The sequence below is a fragment of the Homo sapiens genome, chromosome 7 (assembly GCF_000001405.40).
Source record: "Homo sapiens chromosome 7, GRCh38.p14 Primary Assembly".
Lineage (NCBI taxonomy): Eukaryota > Metazoa > Chordata > Mammalia > Primates > Hominidae > Homo > Homo sapiens.
In genome coordinates, this window is record NC_000007.14 from 152,685,521 (window position 1) to 152,707,703 (window position 22,183).

The window sequence follows — 22,183 nt, forward strand, 5'->3', positions numbered from 1 at the left end:
CACGATCTCATCTCACTGCAACTTCCACCTCCCAGGTTCGAGTGATTCTCCTGCATCACCTTCCCAAGTAGCTGGGACTGCAGGTGTGCACCACCATGCCCAGCTAATTTTTGTATTTTTAGTAGAGATGGGGTTTCACCATGTTGGCCAGGCTGGTCTCAAACTGCTGACCTCAAATGATCCACCTGCCTTGGCCTCCCAAAGTGCTGGGATTGCAGGTGTGAGCCACCATGCCCAGCCTAATTATACATTTTAAGTAGGTCAGTTATATAGGATGTGAATCATATCTCAGTAAAGCTGCATAAAAAAAGGCTATGAGGCCAGGAACAGCTGCTCACACCTGTAATCCCAGCACTTTGGGAGGCTGAGGCGAGAGGAGAGCTTGAGCCCAGGAGTTTGAGACCAGCCTGAGCAACATAGCAAGACCCTGTCTGTACAAAAAAATAATAATAATAAGAGGAAGAAAATTTGCCAGGCATGGTGGCTCATGCCTGTAGCCCCAGCTACTAGGGAGGCTGAGGCATGAGGATCACCTGAGCCCAGAAGTTGAAGGCTGCAATACACCATGCTCATGCCATGGGCAATAGAGTGAGACTCTGTCTCAAAAAAATAATAATAATAAAATAAAATAAAGAAAGAAATAAAAGAAAAAAAAAGCTATGAGGTTTTGAAATGGGCTACAATGACATTCCCCTTTTTAAAAAATTGTTTTTAAACTTCGTTTTTTTTCTTCTTTTTTTTGAGATGGAGTTTCACTCTTGTTGCCCAGGCTGGAGTGCAATGGCCCGATCTCAGCTCACTGCAACCTCCACCTCCTGGGCTCAAGTGATTTTCCTGCCTTAGCCTCCCGAGTAGCTGGGATTACAGGCATGCACCAGCATGCCCGGCTAATTTTGTATTTTTAGTAGAGATAGGGTTTTGCCATGTTGGTCAGGCTGGTCTCAAACTCCTGACCTCAGGTGATCCACCCGCCTTGGCCTCCCAAAATGCTGGGATTATAGGCATGAGCCACTACACCTGGCCAAAAAAAAATTTTTTTTTTAATTATTATTTTTTTGAGACAGAGTCTCGCTCTGTCGCCCAGGCTGGAGTTCAGTGGCACAATCTCGGCTTACTGCAAGCTCTGCCTCCCAGGTTCACGCCATTTTCCTGCCTCAGTCTCCCAAGTAGCTGGGACTACAGGCACCCAGCACCACGCCTGGCTAATTTTTTGTATTTTAGTAGAGACAGGGTTTCACCATGTTAGCCAGGACGGTCTCAATCTCCTGACCTTGTGATCCCCCCGCCTCAGCCTCCCAAAGTGCTGGGGTTACAGACATGAGCCACTGCGCCCGGCCTTTTTAAATTTTTTTAAACACAACTATGCACACATCAGTCATATCAGAATAAAATTTTACTTCTTAGAGACAGCTTTTTTGGTCATATGTATGTGTCTTTTGGGTTCTATGGTATAGGACTTCCTATTCTCTTTCTCTTTTTATTTATATTTACATATATGTATATATATATATATGTAAATATATATATTAACAGTCCTTAGCATAAAAACCTATTATATACGTAGGGATGGAATTAAGAGAATTTTCTTATCTTTGTGAGGTAAAAAACATTTCAGAGGAAGATGTAACAAAACTATCCAGACAGGCCGGGCGCAGTGGCTCATGCCTGTAATCCCAGCACTTTGGGAGGCCAAGGCAGGCAGATCACTTGAAGTCAGGAGCTCGAGACCAGCGTGGCCAACATGGTGAAACCCCGTCTCTAAAAATACACAAATTAGCCAGGCGTGATGGCGCGCACCTGTAGTCCCAACACTCGGGAGGCTGCGGCACAATAATCACTTGAAGCTGGCAGATGGAGGTTGCAGTGAGCTGAGATCGTGCCACTGCACTCCAGGCTGGGTGACAGAACAAGACTCCCTCTCAAAAACAAAACAACAACAATAAAAAACTATCCAGACTGGATTTGAATCACTATTTTAGTGTAGCAGTTCTCAAACTTTTGGGGCCAACAACTCTGTACTCTTAAAAATTATTGCCGGGGACCGGGCACGGTGGCTTACGCCTGTAATCCCAGCACTCTGGGAGGCCAAGGTCGGCAGATCACAAGGTCAGGAGTTCAAGACCAGCCTGACCAACATAGTGAAACCCCATCTCTACTAAAAATACAAAAAGTTAGCTGGGCGTAGAGATGGGCACCTGTAATCCCAGCTACTCTGGAGGCTGAGGAAGGAGAATCACTTGAACCCAGGAGGTGGAGGTTGCAGTGAGCCAAGATCGCGCCATTGCACTCCAGCCCCGGAGACAGTGCGAGACTCCGCCTCAAAAAAAAAAAAAAAAAATTGCAGCAGTGGCTCACGCCTGTAATCCTAGCACTTTGGGAGGCCGAAGCAGGTGGATCACTTGAGGTCAGGAGTTCGAGACCAGCCTGGCCAACATGGTGAAACCCCATCTCTACTAAAAATGCAAAAATTAGTTGGGCGTGGTGGCACATGCGTGTAGTCCCTGTTACTCGGGAGGCTGAGGCAGGAGAATCGCTTGAACCCAGGAAGCAGAGGTTGCAGTGAGCTGAGATCGTGCCAATGCACTTCCACCTGGGCGACAGAGCGAGACTCCGCCTCAAAAAACAAAAAAAAACAACAAAAAAATCAAAATAACAACAACAAAAAACTATCCAGACTGGATTTGAATAACTATTTTAGTGTAGCAGTTCTCAAACTTTTTGGGCCAGTAACTCTGTACTCTTAAAAATTATTGTTGGCTGGGCGTGGTGGCTTGCACCTGTAATCCAGCACTTTGGGAGGCCAAGGTGGGCAGATCACCTGAGATCGGGAGTTCGAGACCAGTCTGACCAACATGGAGAAACCCCATCTCTACTAAAAATACAAAATTAGCCGGGCGTTGTGGCGCATGCCTGTAATCCCAGATACTTGGGAGGCTAAGGCAGGAAAATCGCTTGAACCCAGTGTTACCGGGGGTCCTTGCTCCCAGAGCTCCCATGATGGTGGCGGGCTGCTTCCAAGATGGTGGCGGGCCGCTTCCAAGATGGTGGCAAGCCTCATGTTCTCTGACCTGGTGTTCTTGGCCTCACTGATTCCAAGGAATGGAATCTTGGCCCATGTGGTGAGTGTTATAGCTCTATTAGAAGCCGCGGGTCACGGAAGAGAACCATGGAACCCAACGACTAGTGTTCAGCCCGATTAGGACAAAGCCGGGCACTTAGCCACGCAGGAATAATTGCGAGCCTCTAGCCCAATCAGGAGCAGCAATGGGCGCCTCACTGGATCAGAAGGGCAGCGGACACCCTGCCGGATCCGGAGGGATGGAAGTCAGTGGCGGGTCTGCGACGGCGGCAAACAGCAGTGGTGGACGGCAAGCAAAAGCTCAGCTTGAGCCATAACAAACACGGACCAGAAAAGTGGGCAGTTGCAAGATTTAATAGAGTGAAAACAGAGCTCCCATACAAAGGGAGGGGACCCAAAGAGGGTAGCCATTGCCGGCTCGAATGCCTGGGTTTATTTCCCGATCATTGTCCCTCCCGCTGTGCTCTCAGGCAATAGATGTTTGGCTATTTCTTTACCTCCTGCTTTTGCCTAATTAGCATTTTAGTGAGCTCTCTTTACTACCTGATTGGTCGGGTGTGAGCTAAGTTGCAAGCCCCGTGTTTAAAGGTGGATGCAGTCACCTTCCCAGCTAGGCTTAGGGATTCTTAGTTGGTCTAGGAAATCCAGCTAGTCCTGTCTCTCACCGGGAGGCGGAGGTTGCCGTGAGCTGAGATCGCACCATTGCACTCCAGCCTGGGCAACAAGAGCAAAACTACGTCTTAAAAAAAAAAAAGAAATAAAAAAATTATTGCCGGGCGCAGTGGCTCACGCCTGTAATCCCAACACTTTGGGAGGCCGAGGCAGGTGGATCACCTGAGGTCAGAGTTCGAGACCAGCCTGACCAACATGGTGAAACCCTGTCTCTACTAAAAAATACAAAATTAGCCAGGCTCAGTGGAGCATGCCTATAATCCCAGCTACTCAGGAGGCTGAGGTAGGAGAATCCCTTGAACCCAGGAGGCTGAAGTTGCAGTGAGTTCATTGCACTCCAGCCTAGGCAACGGAGCAAGATTCCATCTCAAAAAATATATATATTAAGGACCCCAACAAAGTTTTTGTTCATGAAGGTTATATCAACTGATATTTACCATACTACAAATAAAATGGAGAAATGACAATTTTCTTTATTTATTCAACCAATTACATGTGCACATAAAAAACTTACTTTATTAAAAACTTTATTTTCTGTAATAAAATATTGGGAAGAGTAGCATTGCTTTTCATTTTTGCAAATCTCTTTAATGGCTGGCTTATGTGAATGGTTAGCTGCAAGCTCATGTCAGCTTCTGAACTCAATCTGTCATGGTACCAACATAATGTGAATGCCGACGCAACAGAAAAAGAAAATGACCTCTCAGTATTTTTACGAACATAGTTTTGATCTTGTGAACCCCGTGAAAGTCATCCTGAAAAGTCTCCAGGGGTCATTTTTTTTTTAAACTATTTTTTGAAACGAAGTCTGGCTCTGTTGTCCAGGCTGGAGTGCAGTGGCAAGATCTGGGTTCACTGCAAACTCCACCTCCCAGGTTCCAGGGGTCTTTAGATCATACTTTTACAACCACTGGTTAAGGCTGGGGACAGTGGCTCATATCTGTAATCCCAGCACTTTGTGAGGCTGAGGTGGGCAGATCACTTGAGGTCAGGAGTTCAAGACCAGCCTGGCCAACATTGTGAAACCCCGGTTCTTCTAAAAATAGAAAAATTAGCCGGGTGTGGTGGCCTATGCCTGTAATCCCAGCTACTCGAAAAGCTGAAGTGGGAGAATTGCTTGAACCCAGGAGGTGGAGGTTGCAGTGAGCCGAGATTGCGCCACTGCAGTCCGCAGTCCGGCCTGGGCGACAGAGCGAGACTCCGTCTCAAAAAAAAAAAAAAAAAAAAAAAAAAAAAAAAAGGCTATAAATTGGGTGGTTCAGTGTGTACTTGCTCAGGTGATGTGTACACCAAAATCTCACAAATCACCACTAAAGAATTTACTCATGTAACCAAATACCACCTGTTCCCCCAAAACTTATGAAAATAAAATAAAAACAATTTAAAAAATAAAAAATAAACAACAACAAAAAAACCTGTGCACCTATTATGGGAACACACATCCTGGTGGAGAAGACGGTGGGAAGCCTAGGAAAGCAGAAATGGGGAAGGGAGGTGATTATAGGGAGACCCTGCCAGAGACTGCCAGGCCCATGGGGAAAATGAGAGGCAAAGCCAGCATGGGAGCACACAAGGGGTTAAGCCGTCTGCTCATTGGTGGATATCTCATTCTGTTGGAAGCAGAGCATCCGATACAAACTTTACTTGGATGTAACAAAATTTAAAAACTGTTCAAAAGGATGTTAAATGAGAGGAATTGTTATATAAAACTTAATTCTCGGCTGGGCTGGGTGACTCATGCCTGTAATCCCAGCACTTTGGGAGGCTGAGGCAGGGGGATCACTTGAGGCCAGGAGTTCGAGACCAGCCTGGCCAACATGGTGAAACCCCGTCTCTACTAAAAATACAAAAAATTAGCCAGGGGTGGTGGCATGTGACTGTAATCCCAGCTACTGGGGAGGCTGAGGCAGGAGAATCACTTGAACTCAGGAGGTGGAGTTTGCAGTGAACCGAGGTCATGCCAATGAACTCCAGCCTGGGCGACAGAGCAAGATTCCATCTTAAAAAAAAAACTTAAATTCTGCAACAACTTAATTCTGAGTGGAAAGGGCAGTGGAAAGTAAGCTTGTAATCTTAGAGGAAGCATGGGGTCCAGTCGGGTATGTCCTAGACCTAAGAATAGTAGAATTTCAGAGAAGGAAAAAAATAGAGCTGAAACTGTGTGGATAGATAATTTAAAAGAGAATAGGGTCAAAGAAAGATAAGTTTCTAAAAATGAGTAAGTCCTTATATCATGCAATTGTCATAGACGTGATATATTTTTATTAAACCAAACATTTAATAATTTGTGAATAAGATGGACAAATAAGACTAACAAAACAGATTCACTATTTCAAAATCTTTATTTCTAGAAGGCTTAAAAGACTACAGCCAATATCCTTAGACTCCTCAATGACCCTCTAAGTATCCATCTATCAGAAATACTAGCACACTGGCCAGGTGCAGTGGCTCATGCCTGTAATCCCAGCGCTTTGGAGGCTTGAGTGGGAAGATTGCTTGAGCCCAGGAGTTCAAGACCAGCCTGGGCAACATAGTGAGACTCCATCTATACAAGAAAAAATCAAATAAAATGAAGAAATAATAGCACACATACATAAACAAATATTTGCAAAGATGTGTACTGTATCCTTGCACTAGAAAAAGTAAAATAATGCAAATGTCTGTAAATAAATGCTTACCTTAATAAATTATGGTGATTCCATGGAACAAAATAGTACATAGCTCTCATAGCAGATGTAAATCTATATATAGGTATGAAAAAGGTATGGACGGAATATTGTTCTGTAAAGGCCAGGCCTGGTGGCTCATGCCTGTAATCTCAGCACTTTGGGAGGCCGAGATGGGCAGATCACTTGAGGTCAGGAGTTCAAGACTAGCCTGGCCAACATGGTAAAAACCCATCTCTACTAAAAATATAAAAATTAGCCAGGGGTGGTGGCACACACCTGTAATCCCAGCTACTCGGGAGGCTGAGTCAGGAGAATTGCTTGAACCTGGGAGGTGGAGGTTGCAGTGAGCCCAGTTCATGCCTCTGCACTCCAGCCTGGGCAACAGAGAGAGACTCCATCTCAAAAGATAAAAATAAATAGATAGATAGATGATAGATAGATAGATAGATAGATAGATAGATAGATAGATAGATAGAGAATGATGGGAGCAAGGTGTCTCACTGTTGGGGTAGGAATTTACAGGTAAGCAAGGGAAGTAGGCTAGAACAATCAATATGGTAATGGAATAGAGTTAGATGGATTAGTAAGAACTCATATTTTGCTTAATATAGATACACGTAGTAACATATATAAATATTTATAGATATGGGGAGGGTTACTATACTCACGCATATTTATGTGCTCTGTCATCTGAGAGGTCTTAGGAGAAATGATATCACGGTAGTAGTGAGCACATCCAGACCATGGTTTCTGATACTATTAGAATACAACAGCATCCAGACCATGGTTTCTGATACTATTAGAATACAACAGCATCCAGACCATGGTTTCTGATACTGTTAGAATACAACAGCATCCAGACCATGATTTCTGATACTATTAGAATTATTAGAGTACAACAGCATCCAGACCATGATTTCTGATACTATTAGAATTATTAGAATACAACAGCATCCAGACCATGCTTTCTTTTCTTTTTTCTTTTCTTTTTTTTTTTTTTGAGACAGAGTTGCACTCTTGTTTCCCAGGCTGGAGTACAGTGGCACGATCTCGGCTCACCACAACCTCTGCCTCCTGGGTTCAAGCGATTCTTCTGTCTCAGCCTCCCAAGTAGCTGGGATTACAGGCACATGCCACCACGCCTGGCTAATTTTTGTATTTCTAGTAGAGATGGGGTTTCATCATATTGGTCAGGCTGGTCTCGAACTCCTGACCTCAGGTGATCCACCCACCTTGGCCTCCCAAAGTGCTGAGATTCCAGGCCTGAGCCCCAGCGCCCGGGCTAAGACCATGATTTCTAATACCATTTTCCTACAAAAGGAATCAGGGCTCCTCAGAGAAATGGTTTATTCTAGAACTGGGGCAGAAATATACAAAATGAGTCTGAAGCTTTTTTTTTTTTTTGGAGACAGGATCTTGCTCCATCACCCAGGCTGAAATGCAGTGGTGCAATCTCTGCTCACTGCAGCCTCGAACTCCCGGGCTCAGTGAATCCTCCTGCCTCACCCCCTTGAGTAGTTGGGACTACAGGAGTGCACCACCATGACTGCTAATTTTTGTATTTTTTTAGTAGAGATGGGGCTTCACCATGTTGCCCAGGCTGTTCTCTAACTCCTGGACTCAAGCAATCCATCTGCTTTGGTCTTCCAAAACACTAGAATTATAGGCATGAGCCACCACGCCCAGCCTGGAGTATTTCTTTCTTTCTTTTCTTTTTTTTTTTTTTTTTTTGTGAGACGGAGTTTTGCTCTTGTTGCTCAGGCTGGAGTGCAATGGCGGGATCTCGGCTCACTGCAAACTCCGCCTCCCGGGTTCAAGCGATTCTCCTGCCTCAGCCTCCTGAGTAGCTGGGATTACAGGCATGCGCCACCACACCCGGCTAATTTTGTATTTTTAGTAGAGACAGGGTTTCTCCGTGTTGGTCGGACTGCTCTCGAACTCCCGACCTCAGACGATCCGCCAGCCTCGGCCTCCCAAAGTGCTGAGATTACAGGTGTGAACCTCTGTGCCCAGCTTAATATTTTTAAATGTAACAAATATACCATACCAATGTAAGATGCCATTCATGGGTGAAACTGGATGCTGGGTATATGGCAACTCTGCACGATTGTCTCCACTTTTTTTTGTAAAAGTAAAATTATAGAATTATGCCGGGCATGGTGGTTTATGCCTGCAATCCCAGCACTTTGGGAAGTCAAGGCGGGCGGATCACTTGAACTCAGGAGTTGGAGACCAGCCTGGCCAACATGGTGAAACCCCGTCTCTACCAAAAATACAAAAAAAAATTAGCCGGGCGTGGTGGCGTGCGCTTGTAGTCCCAGCTACTTGAGAGCCTGAGGTATGAGAATCGCTTGAACCCAGGAGGCAGAGGGTGCGGTGAGCCAAGATCGCACCACTGCACTTCTGCCTGGGTGACAGAGCGAGACCCTGTCTCAAAAAAAAAAAAAAAAAAAAAAAAATATATATATATATATATATATATATATATACACATATATATATATGCACAAATGAAACATTTAAGGATAAAAAGATTCTATTTAAAGTGGTAATTTAGTGCATTTTATCACCTTTTGTATTAAAGCAAAAATGAAGGGTACAGTGTGGCAGATATCACAATATATTTACCAGTTATAGTACAGAATCCCAATGATTCTCTCGTTAAAGGACTAAAACATTTCATATAAATTATAAATTTCTCATAATTTATACATTTAATTTTAATTACTGGTGGCAAAAGAGTATTCTTTGCCTTGTTTAAAGTATAACTGAGTTGGGAAGCTCATTTTTACCCATTTTACTCACTTTAGACTTGAAAGTATTTTTTATTCTTGCTAGTCTCCCAAGACCTCCTGTCAAACTGAAATATATAACTTTTTTTCATTTTTGATCTTCGCATTTGTAAGGGATAAATAATTGATTAGCATAGGAATTATGGGAATATATTTAGCTTATGCTCAGCACTAAACTATTTTTAAATGTCCTCAGGCATCAACCCAAAATGTACATCCAAAGGGTGTCAATTGGAAATTGGGAAATGGAGTGACAGTATAGATTAGAACGATGAAATGGCAAATGCAACCGGAGGAATAGCAGTTGTCAGTTTCACTGCAACTTCAACAGTCAGTCTACCTTGCTGTATTTTTAAAAATTCCTTAAATGGGTCGGGTGCGGTGGCTCACGCCTGTAATCCCAGCACTTTGGGAGGCCGAGGCAGGCTGATCACCTGAGGTCAGGAGTTTGAGACCAGCCTGACTAACATGGTAAAACCCCGTCTCTACTAAAAATACAAAAATTAGCTGGGTGTAGTGGCAGGTGCCTGTATTCCCAGCTACTCGAGAGACTGAAGCAGGAGAATTGCTTGGACCCAGAAGGCAGAGGTTGCAGTGAGCCGAGATCGCACCTTGGCACTCCAGCCTGGGAGACAGAGTGAGACTCTATCTGAAAAAAAAAAAAAAATCCCTAAATGTCTCTCTGATAAGACTATAACCTCAGGTCAGGCGTGGTGGATCATGCCTCTAATCCCAGCACTTTGGGAGGCCGTGGCAGGCGGATCACGAGGTCAGAGGTTCGAGGCCAGCCTGGCCAACACGGTGAAACCCGTCTCTACTAAAGATACAAAAAATTAGCCGGGCGTGGTGGTGGGCGCCTGTAATCTCAGCTACTCAGGAGGCTGAGGCAGGAGAATCATTTGAACCCGGGAGGCAGAGGTTGCAGTGGGCAAAAAAAAAAGACTATAACCTCTTTGAGAGCAGAATCTTCCCTTCTAATTTCACAAAATTGTGTTGAAAGCAGAAACTTCAGACCAGGTACAGTGGTTCATGCCTGTAATCTCAGCACTTTGGGAGGCTGAGGGGGGCGGATCACTTGAGGACAGGAGTTTGAGACCAGCCTGGCCAACATGGTGGAACCCCATCTCTACTGAAAGTACAAAAATTAGCCAGGGGTGGTGGCATGTGCCTGTAATCCCAGCTACTGGGGAGGCTGAGGAAGGAGAATTACTTGAACCCAGGAGGCAGAGGTTGCAGTGAACACAGATCATGCCACTGCACTCCAGCCTGGGCCACAGGAGCAAGACCCCATTTCCAAAAAAAAAAAAAAAAAAAAAAGCAGAAACTTCAAAATGAATTGAAGAAAAAGTAAAATTTTAAAAACTTTATTTTAATATAAGATCACTTAACATGAGAGCTACGCTCCTAATACATTCTAAGTGGATAGGGTACTGGATAGGGTACTGTTAACTATAGGGACAATGTTGCACAGCAGATCTCCAGAACTCACTCAGCCCCCATCATCAAAACTTTATGCCTGTTAATTAGCTGCTCCCCATTCCCCCTCCGCCAGCTCTTGGCAGCCATCATTCTACTCTCTGATTCTTTGAGTTTGACTATTTTAGATGTCTCATATGCATGTAGTCATGCAGTATTTGTCCTTCTGTGACTAGCTTAATTCACTTAGCATAATGTTCTCCAGTTTTGTCCATGTCCTTGCATATTGCAGGATTTCCTTTTGTTTTAAGGCTCCACGATATTGCATTGTATGTATATACCACCCTTGCTTTATCCACTCATCCATCCATGGACATTTAGGTTGCTTCCATAGCATTGCTATTCTGAATAATGCTACAGTGAACACTGGATTAGGGTTGATTTCTAAATATATAAAGAACTCCTACAATTCAATAGCAAAGCAAAAACAGCAAATAACCTGGTTTTACAAAGTATATGGGACATGAACTCAAATATGAAGAAATTTTTTTTTTTTTTTTGATACGAAGTTTTGCTCTTGTCGCCCAGGCTGGAGTGCAATGGCACGATCTCGGCTCACTGCAACTCCAGCCTGGGCAACAAAGTGAAATTCTGTCTCAAAAAAAAACAAAAAACAAAAAAACAAAAAACCCAGTCTCTACTAAAAATACAAAAATTAGCCGGGTATGGTGGTGTGTTCCTGTAGTTCCAGCTACTGGGGACGCTGAGGCAGGAGAATCGCTTGAACCAGGGAGGCGGAAGTTGCAGTGAGCTGAGATCGTGCCATTGGACACTAGCCTTAGGCAACAAGACTGAAACTCGGTCTCAAAAACAATAAAGAATGAATGTGTTGAATATTGAATGGAATAAGAATGAACTAGAGCCCATCTTCCAACCATCTCAAGGCCTATGTTAAATTAACACTGGACTTGCCAGTGTCCCCAGGCTCCTGCGAAAACCATATGTAGATCTTCTCTAGCAAAAGATAACATCATGGCCGGGTGCTGTGGCTCACGCCTGTAATCCCAGCACTTTGGGAGGCCAAGGTGGGTGGATCACGAGGTCAGGAGTTTGAGACCATGCTGGCCAACATAGTGAAACTCCATCTCTAGTAGAGAGACGACAAAAATTTTGTCTCTAGTAGAGAGACAAAAAATTAGCCTGGTGTGGTGGTGTGTACCTGTAATCCCAGCTACCTGGGAGGCTGAGGCAGGAGAAACACTTGAACCCAGGAGGCAGAGGTTGCAGTTAGCCAAGATGGCGCAATTGCACTCCAGCCCAGGCAATAGTGTGAGACTCCACCTCAAAAAAAAAAAAAAAAAAAAAAAAGATAACATCATAGTGGAGCTGCCTGCCAGCCCCAGTGCAGGATCCACTGGGTGAAGCCAGCTGGGATCCTGAGTCTGGTGGGGACGTGGAGAACCTTTATGTCTAGCTCAGGGATTGTAAATACGTCAATCGGCACTCTGTATCTAGCTCAAGGTTTGTAAACACACCAATCAGCACCCTCTGTCTAGCTCAGGGTTTGTGAATGCACCAGTCGACACTCTGTATCTAGCTAATCTGGTGGGGACGTGGAGAACATTTGTGTCTAGCTCAGGGATTGTAAAGGCACCAATCAGCGCCCTGTCAAAACAGACCACTTGGCTCTACCAATCAGCAGGATGTGGGTGGGGCCAGATAAGAGAATAAAAGCAGGCTGCCCGAGCCAGCAGTAGCAACCCGCTCGGGTCCCCTTCCACACTGTGGAAGCTTTGTTCTTTCGCTCTTTGCAATAAATCCTGCTGCTGCTCACTCTTTGGGTCCACACTGCCTTTATGAGCTGTAACACTCACCGCGAAGGTCTGCAGCTTCACTCCTGAAGACAGCGAGACCACGAACCCACCAGGAGGAACGAACAACTCCAGACAAGCTGCCTTAAAAGCTGTTAACACTCACCGTGAGGGTTCACGGCTTCATTCTTGAAGTCAGTGAGACCAAGAACCCACCAATTCCGGACACAATAGTAGACTCAAGTTATTTCTTCAATACTTAAGACAATTATTATTTCTACTTACTTTACTCCTCATGAACCTATTTATTTATTTATTTTTGAGACAGAGTCTCACTTTGTCGCCTAAGCTGGAGTGCAATGGAGCGATCTTGGCTCACTGCAACCTCCGCCTCCCAGGTTCAAGTGACTCTCGTGCCTCAGTCCCCCGAGTAGCTGGGACTACAGGTGTCCTGACCTCAAGTGATCCACCGGTCTCAGCTTCCCAAAGTGCTGCGATTACAGGCGCCTGGCCTTCCTATTTACTTTTCATTGTGTGCAAGACATTCTGTAAAAATGTAAAAATAAAAAATAAATAGGCTCATGAGGAGTCAAATAAGTAGAAGTAATAATTGCCTTAATTATTGAAGAAATAATTTGAGTCTACTCTGATGTTACCTTTTGCTAGGGAAGATCTACATATGCTTTTGTCAGGAGCCTGGGGACACTGGTAATTCCAGTGTTAATCTAATATAGGCCTTGAGATGGTTGGAAGCTGGGCTTTAGTTCACCCTTATTCCTAGGGTCTAGCCCTTGAGTTTCCCAACCCAAAGCATGATTTTTTTCCCCCAAGATTTCCTCTCATTTGTAGGTCCTCCTCACCAGGCTGTTGAAACATCTGCTCAGCTTCTCAATCTTTCGAGACCTCATTAAACGCCCTGGGAGAACAGTAGCCCTAAAGCTGGGCTCATCTTCTTGGATTTACTTCTGTGGATCTCAGTCCTGTAACTCTTTAATTCTTTATTGTGTTGTGAGCTCCCCCAATGCCTTAAAGCAAATTATTCTTAGATTTTCTGCTGCCTTGCAGTTGTTTTCAGTGGAAGGGTGGTTCCTCATTATCTAGTCTGCCATTTTCAGAGATATCAAGCTCAATCCTTATGAAAATTTTATTCTTACCAAACAAGCTAATAGTAAATAAACAAAATACAGGGTTGCCTTTTTTTTTTTAATGTCACTTTCTGTTTCTTTAGTCATTGGTGAAGATGCTATTAAAGTACTTTCTAAATAACTGAGAAGCAAGGCAGATGGCCAAGCAAGATAAAGGAAAAGATCAGGTTAATTCACAAACTGTGTATTCAGCCTGAACAATGGAGATAAAAGAGATATTCCCCAAATTAGACTGAGCAGACATCCTCCTTTTTAAAGGGCAATCCCATTTTCAGTATTTATGTCTTATTTGTTCCCTGAGGCAAATGTCTCTTTATGCAAAGCATAAAGTAATCAGGTATTTCATCAGGTAGGAAAGAACTTGTTTTTTACTCCCTCTGTGACCTGGAGTTGTGCACAGCATATGTCACATCAGGGGTGTCAGCAGCACCAAGTTGAAGATTCAAGCAAGACAGGTGACCTTATAAAAAGGACTGTGAAGAGTTAGGCATCAAAACAAAACACAGCATTCTAAGCCTGGGCCACAGTAACTCAGCCAAAGTGGGCATGAGCTAAGGAGGCAAGATGGCATTGGCCATCACCAGAGGTCAGCAGACCTGGACAGGGCCACAGCAGCTGGAAGGAGCTTGGTGAGACACTGTAGCTGGGGCAGTCTGCTTTCATCTCCTTGTCCAGTGCCAGCCTCTTTCTCAATGGGACCAGCCCAAAGGAATGCAAGGGAAGGGGATTTCACACTGGCTTCTGTGGGCAAAGAGGGAAGTGGAGTTTTTTTTTTTTTCTTTTTTTTTGAGACAGAGTCTTGCTCTGTCGCCCAGGCTGGAGTGCAGTGGTGCAATCTCGGCTCACTGCAGCCTCGGGAAGTGGAATTTGATACCTCTCCTAACAGGTAATTGCAGCCTCCAGAAGCCAAAGCCAGGGTGGCATTTCCCCAGAGTGGATCCTATGTCTCTCCCTGGCTTGACAACTGCTTCAGGACAGGGATAATGTTTGTTGGTAAGATCTGCTATGGTGCTGATTTGAAACTGAAAAAGGGATTAAATGCACAAGCAGAAAAGCATAAGGAAAAAACCAACACAGGGTCGCGCCTTCTCTCCTGCCTCGGTCCAACAAGCACTGCTCATCCAGCATTGCTGTGCTCCTGAGAGGAGAAGGCCCTTTTCTCCCCTCCTCTGGAAGGAAACGGGGCAGAACAAGACAACCTCACTTCCCTTGCCTCTCTCGCCTCTTCTGCCTCTACCTAATAACCTACGAATAGCATCTCTAAATTAATAGGGAACTTAGTGATACCATCAGGACCCCATCCTTACTCAAAGTAGGAATTCCTTTTAAAAATTTGCGTCTCCTGGGCCGGGCGCGGTGGCTCACGCCTGTAATCCCAGCACTTTGGGAGTCCGAGGTGGGCGGATCACGAGGTCAGGAGATCGAGACCATCCTGGCTAACACGGTGAAACCCCGTCTCTACTAAAAATACAAAAAAAAATTAGCCGGGCATGGTGGTGGGCGCCTGTAGTCCCAGCTACTCGGGAGGCTGAGGCAACAGAATGGCGTGAACCTGGGAGGCAGAGCTTGCAGTGAGCCGAGATCATGCCACTGCACTCCAGCCTGGGCGACAGGGCAAGACTCCCTCTCAAAAAAAAAAAAAAAAGAAAAATTTGGGCCTCCTGGTTGACAAGACCCTGTTTAAGTGCTGTCAAAGTCAGAAAAACTGTTAGGACATTCCTTTATTTTTGTTTTATTGTATATTAAAATACACGCAGAGCCTGGCATGGTGGCTCACGCCTGTAATTCCAGCACTTTGGGGGGCTGAGGCAGGCGGATCAATTGAGGTCAGGAGTTCGAGACCAGCCTGGCCAACATGGTGAAACCCCTTCTCTACTAAAAATACAAAAAAATTAGCTGGGCCTGGTGGCACGTGCCTGTAATCTCAACTACTCAGGAAGCTGAGGCAGGAGGATCACTTGAACCCGGGAGGCAGAGGTTGCAGTGAGTCGAGATCGCGCCACCACACTTCAGTCTGGTAGACAGAGCAAGACCCTGTCTCAAAATAAATAAATAAATAAGGCCGGGCGTGGTGGCTCACGCCTGTAATCCCAGCACTTTGAGAGGCCGAGGCGGGTGGATCATCTGAGGTCAAGAGTTCCAGACCAGCCTGGCCAACATGGGGAAACCCAGTCTCTACTACAATACAAAAAAATTAGCCGGGTGTGGCCAGGCGCGGTGGCTCATGCCTGTAATCCCATCACTCTGGGAGGCAGAGGCGGGCAGATCACGAGGTTAGGAGTTCGAGACCAGCCTGGCCAATATGATGAAACCCCGTCTCTACTAAAAATACAAAAATTAGCCAGGCCTAGTGGTGCGTGCCTGTAGTCCCAGCTACTCAGGAAGCTGAGGCAGAAGAATCGCTTGAACCTGGGAGGTGGAGGTTGCAGTAAGCCAAGATCACATCACTGCACTCCAGACTGGGCAACAGAGTGGGACTCTGTCTCAAAAAAAAGAAAAAGAAAAAAGAAAAAATATATATACGTAAAATAAAATAAAATAAAATAAAATAAAATACATGCAGAACAAAAGAGTGTGCTGGGCGGGCCATTCCCCACCCTTCTTCAGTCTCCCTGTGGCAACCATTGTCAGGTTCTGTGTGTGTGTGTGTGTGTGTGTGTGTGTGTGTGTGTGTGTTTGAGATGGAGTCTCGCTCTGTCGCCCAGGCTGGAGTGCAGTGGCGCCATCTCGGCTCACTGCAAGCTCCACCTCCTGGGTTCACGCCATTCTCCTACCTCAGCCTCCCGAGTAGCTGGGACTACAGGCGCCCGCCACCATGCCCAGCTAATTTTTTGTATTTTTTTAGTAGAGACAGAGTTTCACCATGTTAGCCAGGATGGTCTCAATCTCCCGACCTCGAGATCCGCCTGCCTCGGCCTCCCAAAGTGCTGGGATTACAGGCGTGAGCCCCTGCGCCCAGCCTCCATGTGTTTTTAATAGGAGGGTTTTGTACACGTGGAATATGATAAAACACACTTCCTTCAACCAGCACCACACATATATTTTTATACAAAATGACAATAGGCTGGGCATGGTGGCTAACACAGTACATCAGGAGGCCAAGGAGGGAGGACACTTGAGGCCAGGAGATCATACCAGCCTGGGCAACATTGCAAGACCTCATCTCTACAAAAAATAAAATAAATTAGCCAGGCATGGTGTCACGCATCTGTAGTCCCAGCTACCCAGGAGACTGAGGATGGCTTCAGCCCAGGAGTTCAAGGCTGCCGTGAGCTATGATCACACCACTGCCCTCCAGCCTGGGTGACAGTTCGAGATCCTGTCCCAAACAACAGCAACAATAAAAATGACAACATAATTGTGGATCAAATTCCATTTTTTTTTCTTTTGAGATAAGGTCTCACTCTGTCACCCAGGCTGGAGTGCAGTGGTCTCAGCTCACTGCAGCCTCAAGCTCCCCAGCCTCAGGTGATCCTCCCATCTCAGCTTCCTGAGTAGCTGGGACTGCAGGTGTGTGCCACCATGCCCAGCTAATTTTTGCATTTTTTTATAGAGAGAGGGTTTCATCATGTTGCCCAGGCTAGTATTAAATTTCATTTTGAGCACTCAAATTGACAGAAAGTTGTACCTAAAATTGAACTGGCCAGGCACAGTGGCTCACGTCTGTAATTCCAGCACTTTGGGAGGCCGAGGCGGGCGGATCACGGGGTCAGGAGATCGAGACCATCCTGGCAAACACAGTGAAACCCCATCTCTACTAAAAATACAAAAAAATTAGCTGGGCGTGGTGGCGGGTGCCTGTAGTCCCCGCTACTTGGGAGGCTGAGGCAGGAGAATGGCGTGAACCTGGGAGCCGAGATCATGCCACTGCACTCCAGCCTGGGCAACAGAGCGAGACTCCGTCTCAAAAATAAATAAATTAATTAAATTAAATTAAATTGAACTAAAATCTTGGTGGATTTCAAGTGGTTAGTCTTTGTTTTGGCTTCCAGAACATCATAGAATGAGTGGAGCTCTTCTATGCAGCGACGGCTCTGCAAAATTTTCCAGACAGCGATTGCTTTTCTCCTCTAACGTCTACCTCTCTCTCCCATCCCTGTACCACATGATTCATTGCCAGCCAAAATATTTCCAGTTTTTTTTTTAACAATTCCTCCTGTGGCATTGTGGAATTGAAATAATTATATGTATTTCTTGCCAAAGAAAAACATTCAGAATAGGAAGTTTGCTTTGAGTTAGATAAAACAAGTTAATTACTTTTGGTGAAAGGTTTGTTTGTTTGTTTTTGCTATTATAGCATCATTATGCTATTATATAGCATATATTATGCCATAACACTAGGTTATAGAGTGAAGACTTTCCATATCTGAATTATCTGTATTTTGCCTGTGTAAATAAGATAATCAGATACTCATGTGATTTTTTTTTTCCAGCTGGAAAAGTAGACTTTAAAAATCAAGATAACTTTTTTTTTTTGACAGTTTCAAATTTTGCTCTTTTGCCCAGGTTGGAGTGAAGTGGCGTGATCTTGGCTCACTGAAACATCTGCCCCCCGGGTTCAAGCGATTCTCCTACCTCAGCCTCCCAAATAGCTGGGATTACAGGCGCCACCACCACACCTGGCTAATTTTTTGTATTTTTGGTAGAGATGGGGTTTCACCATGTTGGCCAGGCTGATCTCGAACTCTTGACCTCAGGTGATCCACTCGCCTCAGCCTCCCAAAGTGCTAGGATTACAAGCACAAGCCACTGCACCTGGCCAACTTAAAAAATATATAGAGTACACCTAAATTGAAAAAAGTTTCAATACATTTTATGGTATGGCATGTTTATAGATAGTATCAAATTTACTAATTGAAAAGAAAATACATGGACTAAATGAAAAGAAAATATAAATCCCCAGCTATATAAACTCTCCATTAACCTGAAACTGGCTAACTATAATAATCAATAAATTTGCTGGGTGCAGTGGCTCATGCCTGTAATCCCAGCACTTTGGGAGACCGAGGTGGGTGGATCACTTGAGATCGGGAGTTCAAGACCAGCCTGGCCAACATGGTGAAATCCCGTCTCTACTAAATATACAAAAATTAGCCAGGCATGGTGGCGGGTGCCTGTCATCCCAGATACTCAGGAGACTGAGTCAGGAGAATCGCTTGAACCTGGGAGATGGAGGTTGTAGCGAGCCGAGATCGTGCCACTGCACTCCAGCCTGAGCAACAGAGCAAGTCTCCATCTCAAAATAATAATAATAATCAATAAATTAGGCTTTCTTCCTCAGAGTTATGCAAGTGTAGCTACTTCAAGATTTGTATTTATCAAAGAATTTGTGCTTTGACATAAAGATCAAGACACAAAATTGCAGGAGATATTTCAGGACAGGTGGAATTTCCTAACTTCTTAAAATGCATGAGCAAGGGTGTTACATATGGTGAACCCCAGTTTCTCTTCAAAGAACCAGTATGTCAGTATGTTCAGCTCTCTTATTCTTTGATTCTCCATTTTAAAGTTTAACTTCCTGGTTCTCTTAGCCCCCTTCCTTCTAGTTTCAGTAAACAACTTTCCCACCAGTCCTAACCAGTAGTTCACAGCGGTCCCCTGATCACCTGCTTTAACCTAAGTCACCTTTAGTTACCTGTTCCTAACCATCCTTCCTGCCAAAGTACTCACCCTGCCACTCCAGCTCGTATTCCTGTTCTCTTTAAAATAGCCAATCAGAATTAGCTTAGACTGTGTGGTCCAACCCTAGCCAATATGGGAATGACACAGCAGTAGGGGCTACTTGTGTCAGGAATAAGAACTCCTGCCCCTCCCCTGTTCAGGTGTGCTCTTGCCATTGTTCCATCTACAAGAAGCACCCTTTCTGCAGAAAGTAAAAATTGCCTTGCTGAGAAAATTAAATTTATGTTCGAGTGCTATATCTTTGTGGCACTGAGGAATAAGCATTTTGCATTTCTAGCAAAGGGTAAAAAACACTGTATTTGAATCAGAAGACTTGGGATTGTGTCCCAGATTTGCCTCTTTTAGTTTTTAATGTATTTGAACTGCAGTTTCCTCATAATGTCATCATCATCATTAACTATTTAGTGAGCATTTACTATATGCCAGTCACTGTACTAAGTGCTTTACAGAGATGATCTATGTAATCTACACATCAACTCTATGAGGTTCATGCCTTTATTAACCTTGTTTTACAGATGAGAAACAGGCTCAGAGGGGTTAACCAGCTTGCCCATGGACACTCAACCCTGAGAGAGAGTTGAAATTCATATGCAAATAGCCTGAGCCTTGCCTCTCCCATTCCAGAGGTAATTCTGGTATACTTTTTTGTAAAGTTCCTTCTTGTTTGTACATCCTTCAATCTATTCTACCTTACACAGTCAGCCAGGTCTTCTTTCAAGATACTTCTCAGATGATTCTCTTCTAAAAACCATAACTAGCTTTTGATTTGCATATGTGAAACTTCACATTTTCTAACCTGGCATTCAAGATATTTTATAATGTGCTCCAATTCATCTTTGGAGACACAGCTCCTAGAGATTTACCTGCTGCCAATTGAACTTAGTGAAAAGCCTCTCAGGTGTCACCTGTCCCCTCACTCTTTTTTTTTTTTTTGAGACGGAGTCTTGCTCTGTCTTGCCCAGGCTGGAGTGCAGTGGCGTAATCTTGGCTCGCTGTAGCCTCTGCCTCGGGGTTTCAAGCGATTCTCCAGTCTCAGCCTCCCGAGTAGCTGGGACTACAGGCGTGAGCCACCACACCCGGCTAATTTTGTATTTTTAGTAGAGACAAGGTTTCACCATGTTGGCCAGGCTGGTCTCAAACTCCTGACCTCGGCTTCCAAAAGTGCTAGGATTACAGATGTGAGCCACCACACTTGGTATTTTTTTGTTTTTTGTTTTTGTTTTTGTTTTTTAAGCAGAGTTTCGTTCTTGTCTCCCAGACTGGAGTGCAGTGGCATGATCTCGGTTCACTGCAACCTCTGCCTCCCGGGTTCAAGCAATTCTCCTGCCTCAGCCTCCTGAGTAGCTGGGATTACAGGCACCTGCCACCATGCCTGGCTAATTTTTGTATTTTTAGTAGAGATGGGGTTTCACCATATTGGCCAGGCTGGTCTCAAACTCCTGATCTCAGGTGATCCGCCTGCCTCAGTCTCCCAAAGTGCTGGGATGACAGGTGTGAGCCACCGCCACCGGCCAGGTGTCACCCTTTTGTGAAACCAGATTATTCCTGTCCACAGGGATCTCTGCCTACCTAAATGGAAATCCTAAGGCAAGGACAGTGAAATTATTGTATTTCCCTAAATGTAACATTACATATAGTTATTTGTGTGCATGAATTATCTCCTTTATTATCCTATAAGATGATAGAGACCAATGTATAGAAAGCTATGTATAGCTCTTTCCAAACCCATTTTGGGAGCTCAGGGAGTATTTCCAAAAGACATAGATTGCCGGCTTTTCCCAGAAATGGGACCTGCAGGGAGGTGTGGCCCCTGAGGGGGTGGAATCGCTGAAGCTCGGGCAGATAGCAGTGGAAGCTAGACTATTACTAGCTTCTTTCAGTATCACTTCTACTTTGCTTTGCTAACAAAAGAAAGCTGTTAAGCCTCCGGCCATAGGAATCAAATGGAAATGTCCCTCCCTTCTAGGCAAAGCTAGTGCCCTGGGCTTCGTTGCATTGCAAGTTTACTGGAAAAAAAAATTTGAGCTTTTATTCAGTATTTATACAGTCATTCCCTAGAATCTCCTTCATCCGGTCTTAAAACTAGAATTTGACACAGTGGGTTTAGGTTGAATGGTTTAGGCAACCAAATTAATCATGGCAGTCAAAAGTCCCTTTGCATTTTTCTTTTACAGTCCTCCCATAAAGTTAATATATTTAAATGGTTGTGAGATAGACAATTAAGCATGGCCCTTTACCTTTTTACAGTAAGGGATCACAGCAAGTGGGACGGAGAGAGAGAAAAAGAAATTCCTTGACGTGTGTCCTTGCAAACAGACAACTAGCCAACGCTGCCTCCTAGTGTCTAAGGTAGACACTGCCTGAGGGATTTGGATGTGAAGCTGTGGTTTGTTGGAGGGGAGGTTTTGCAGTATATATGAATATCTATTAACTGGCCAGCACAAGCAATGGATTAAAAAGTTTAATCACTGTGGGGCGTGGTGGCTCACGCCTGTAATCCCAGCACTTTGGAGGCAGAGGTGGGTGGATCACCTGAGGTCAGGAGTTCGAGACCAGCCTGACCAACATAGCGAAACCCCATCTCTACTAAAAATACAAAAATTAGCCGGGTGTGGTGACGGACACCTATAATCCCAGTTACTTGGGAGGCTGAGGAAGGAGAATCACTTGAACCTGGGAGGCAGAGGTTGCAGTGAGCCGAGATCGCGCCATTGCGCTCCAGCCTGGGCAACAAGAGGGAAACTCTCTCAAAAAAAAAAAAAAAAGTGTAATCATAAAATGGATCCCAAGCAAGGAACTTTTGACTTTTTGTGACCAGATTCAAACCAGGTCTACACACTCACACGCCTTCATGAGCCTGGCAGGTGGACGTGACATCCCGGGAGTGGTAAAGGCATGCCCCGCATGAAGGTGCTCA

At 44.7% G+C, this 22,183-nt stretch overlaps 3 annotated features.

Annotated features, from left to right (window-relative positions):
* Nucleotides 1,701–1,790: an enhancer, noted in NCBI's record as "active region_26882". NCBI's record gives its function as "activates an Ori minimal core promoter by ATAC-STARR-seq in GM12878 lymphoblastoid cells {active_cell/tissue: GM12878}" and the evidence as "EXISTENCE:reporter gene assay evidence [ECO:0000049][PMID:35858748]".
* Nucleotides 21,004–21,180: a silencer, noted in NCBI's record as "fragment chr7:152403609-152403785 (GRCh37/hg19 assembly coordinates)". NCBI's record gives its function as "represses an EF-1alpha promoter that drives an FKBP-Casp9 reporter gene in an ReSE screen in HepG2 liver carcinoma cells {active_cell/tissue: HepG2}" and the evidence as "EXISTENCE:reporter gene assay evidence [ECO:0000049][PMID:32094911]".
* Nucleotides 21,473–21,552: an enhancer, noted in NCBI's record as "active region_26883". NCBI's record gives its function as "activates an Ori minimal core promoter by ATAC-STARR-seq in GM12878 lymphoblastoid cells {active_cell/tissue: GM12878}" and the evidence as "EXISTENCE:reporter gene assay evidence [ECO:0000049][PMID:35858748]".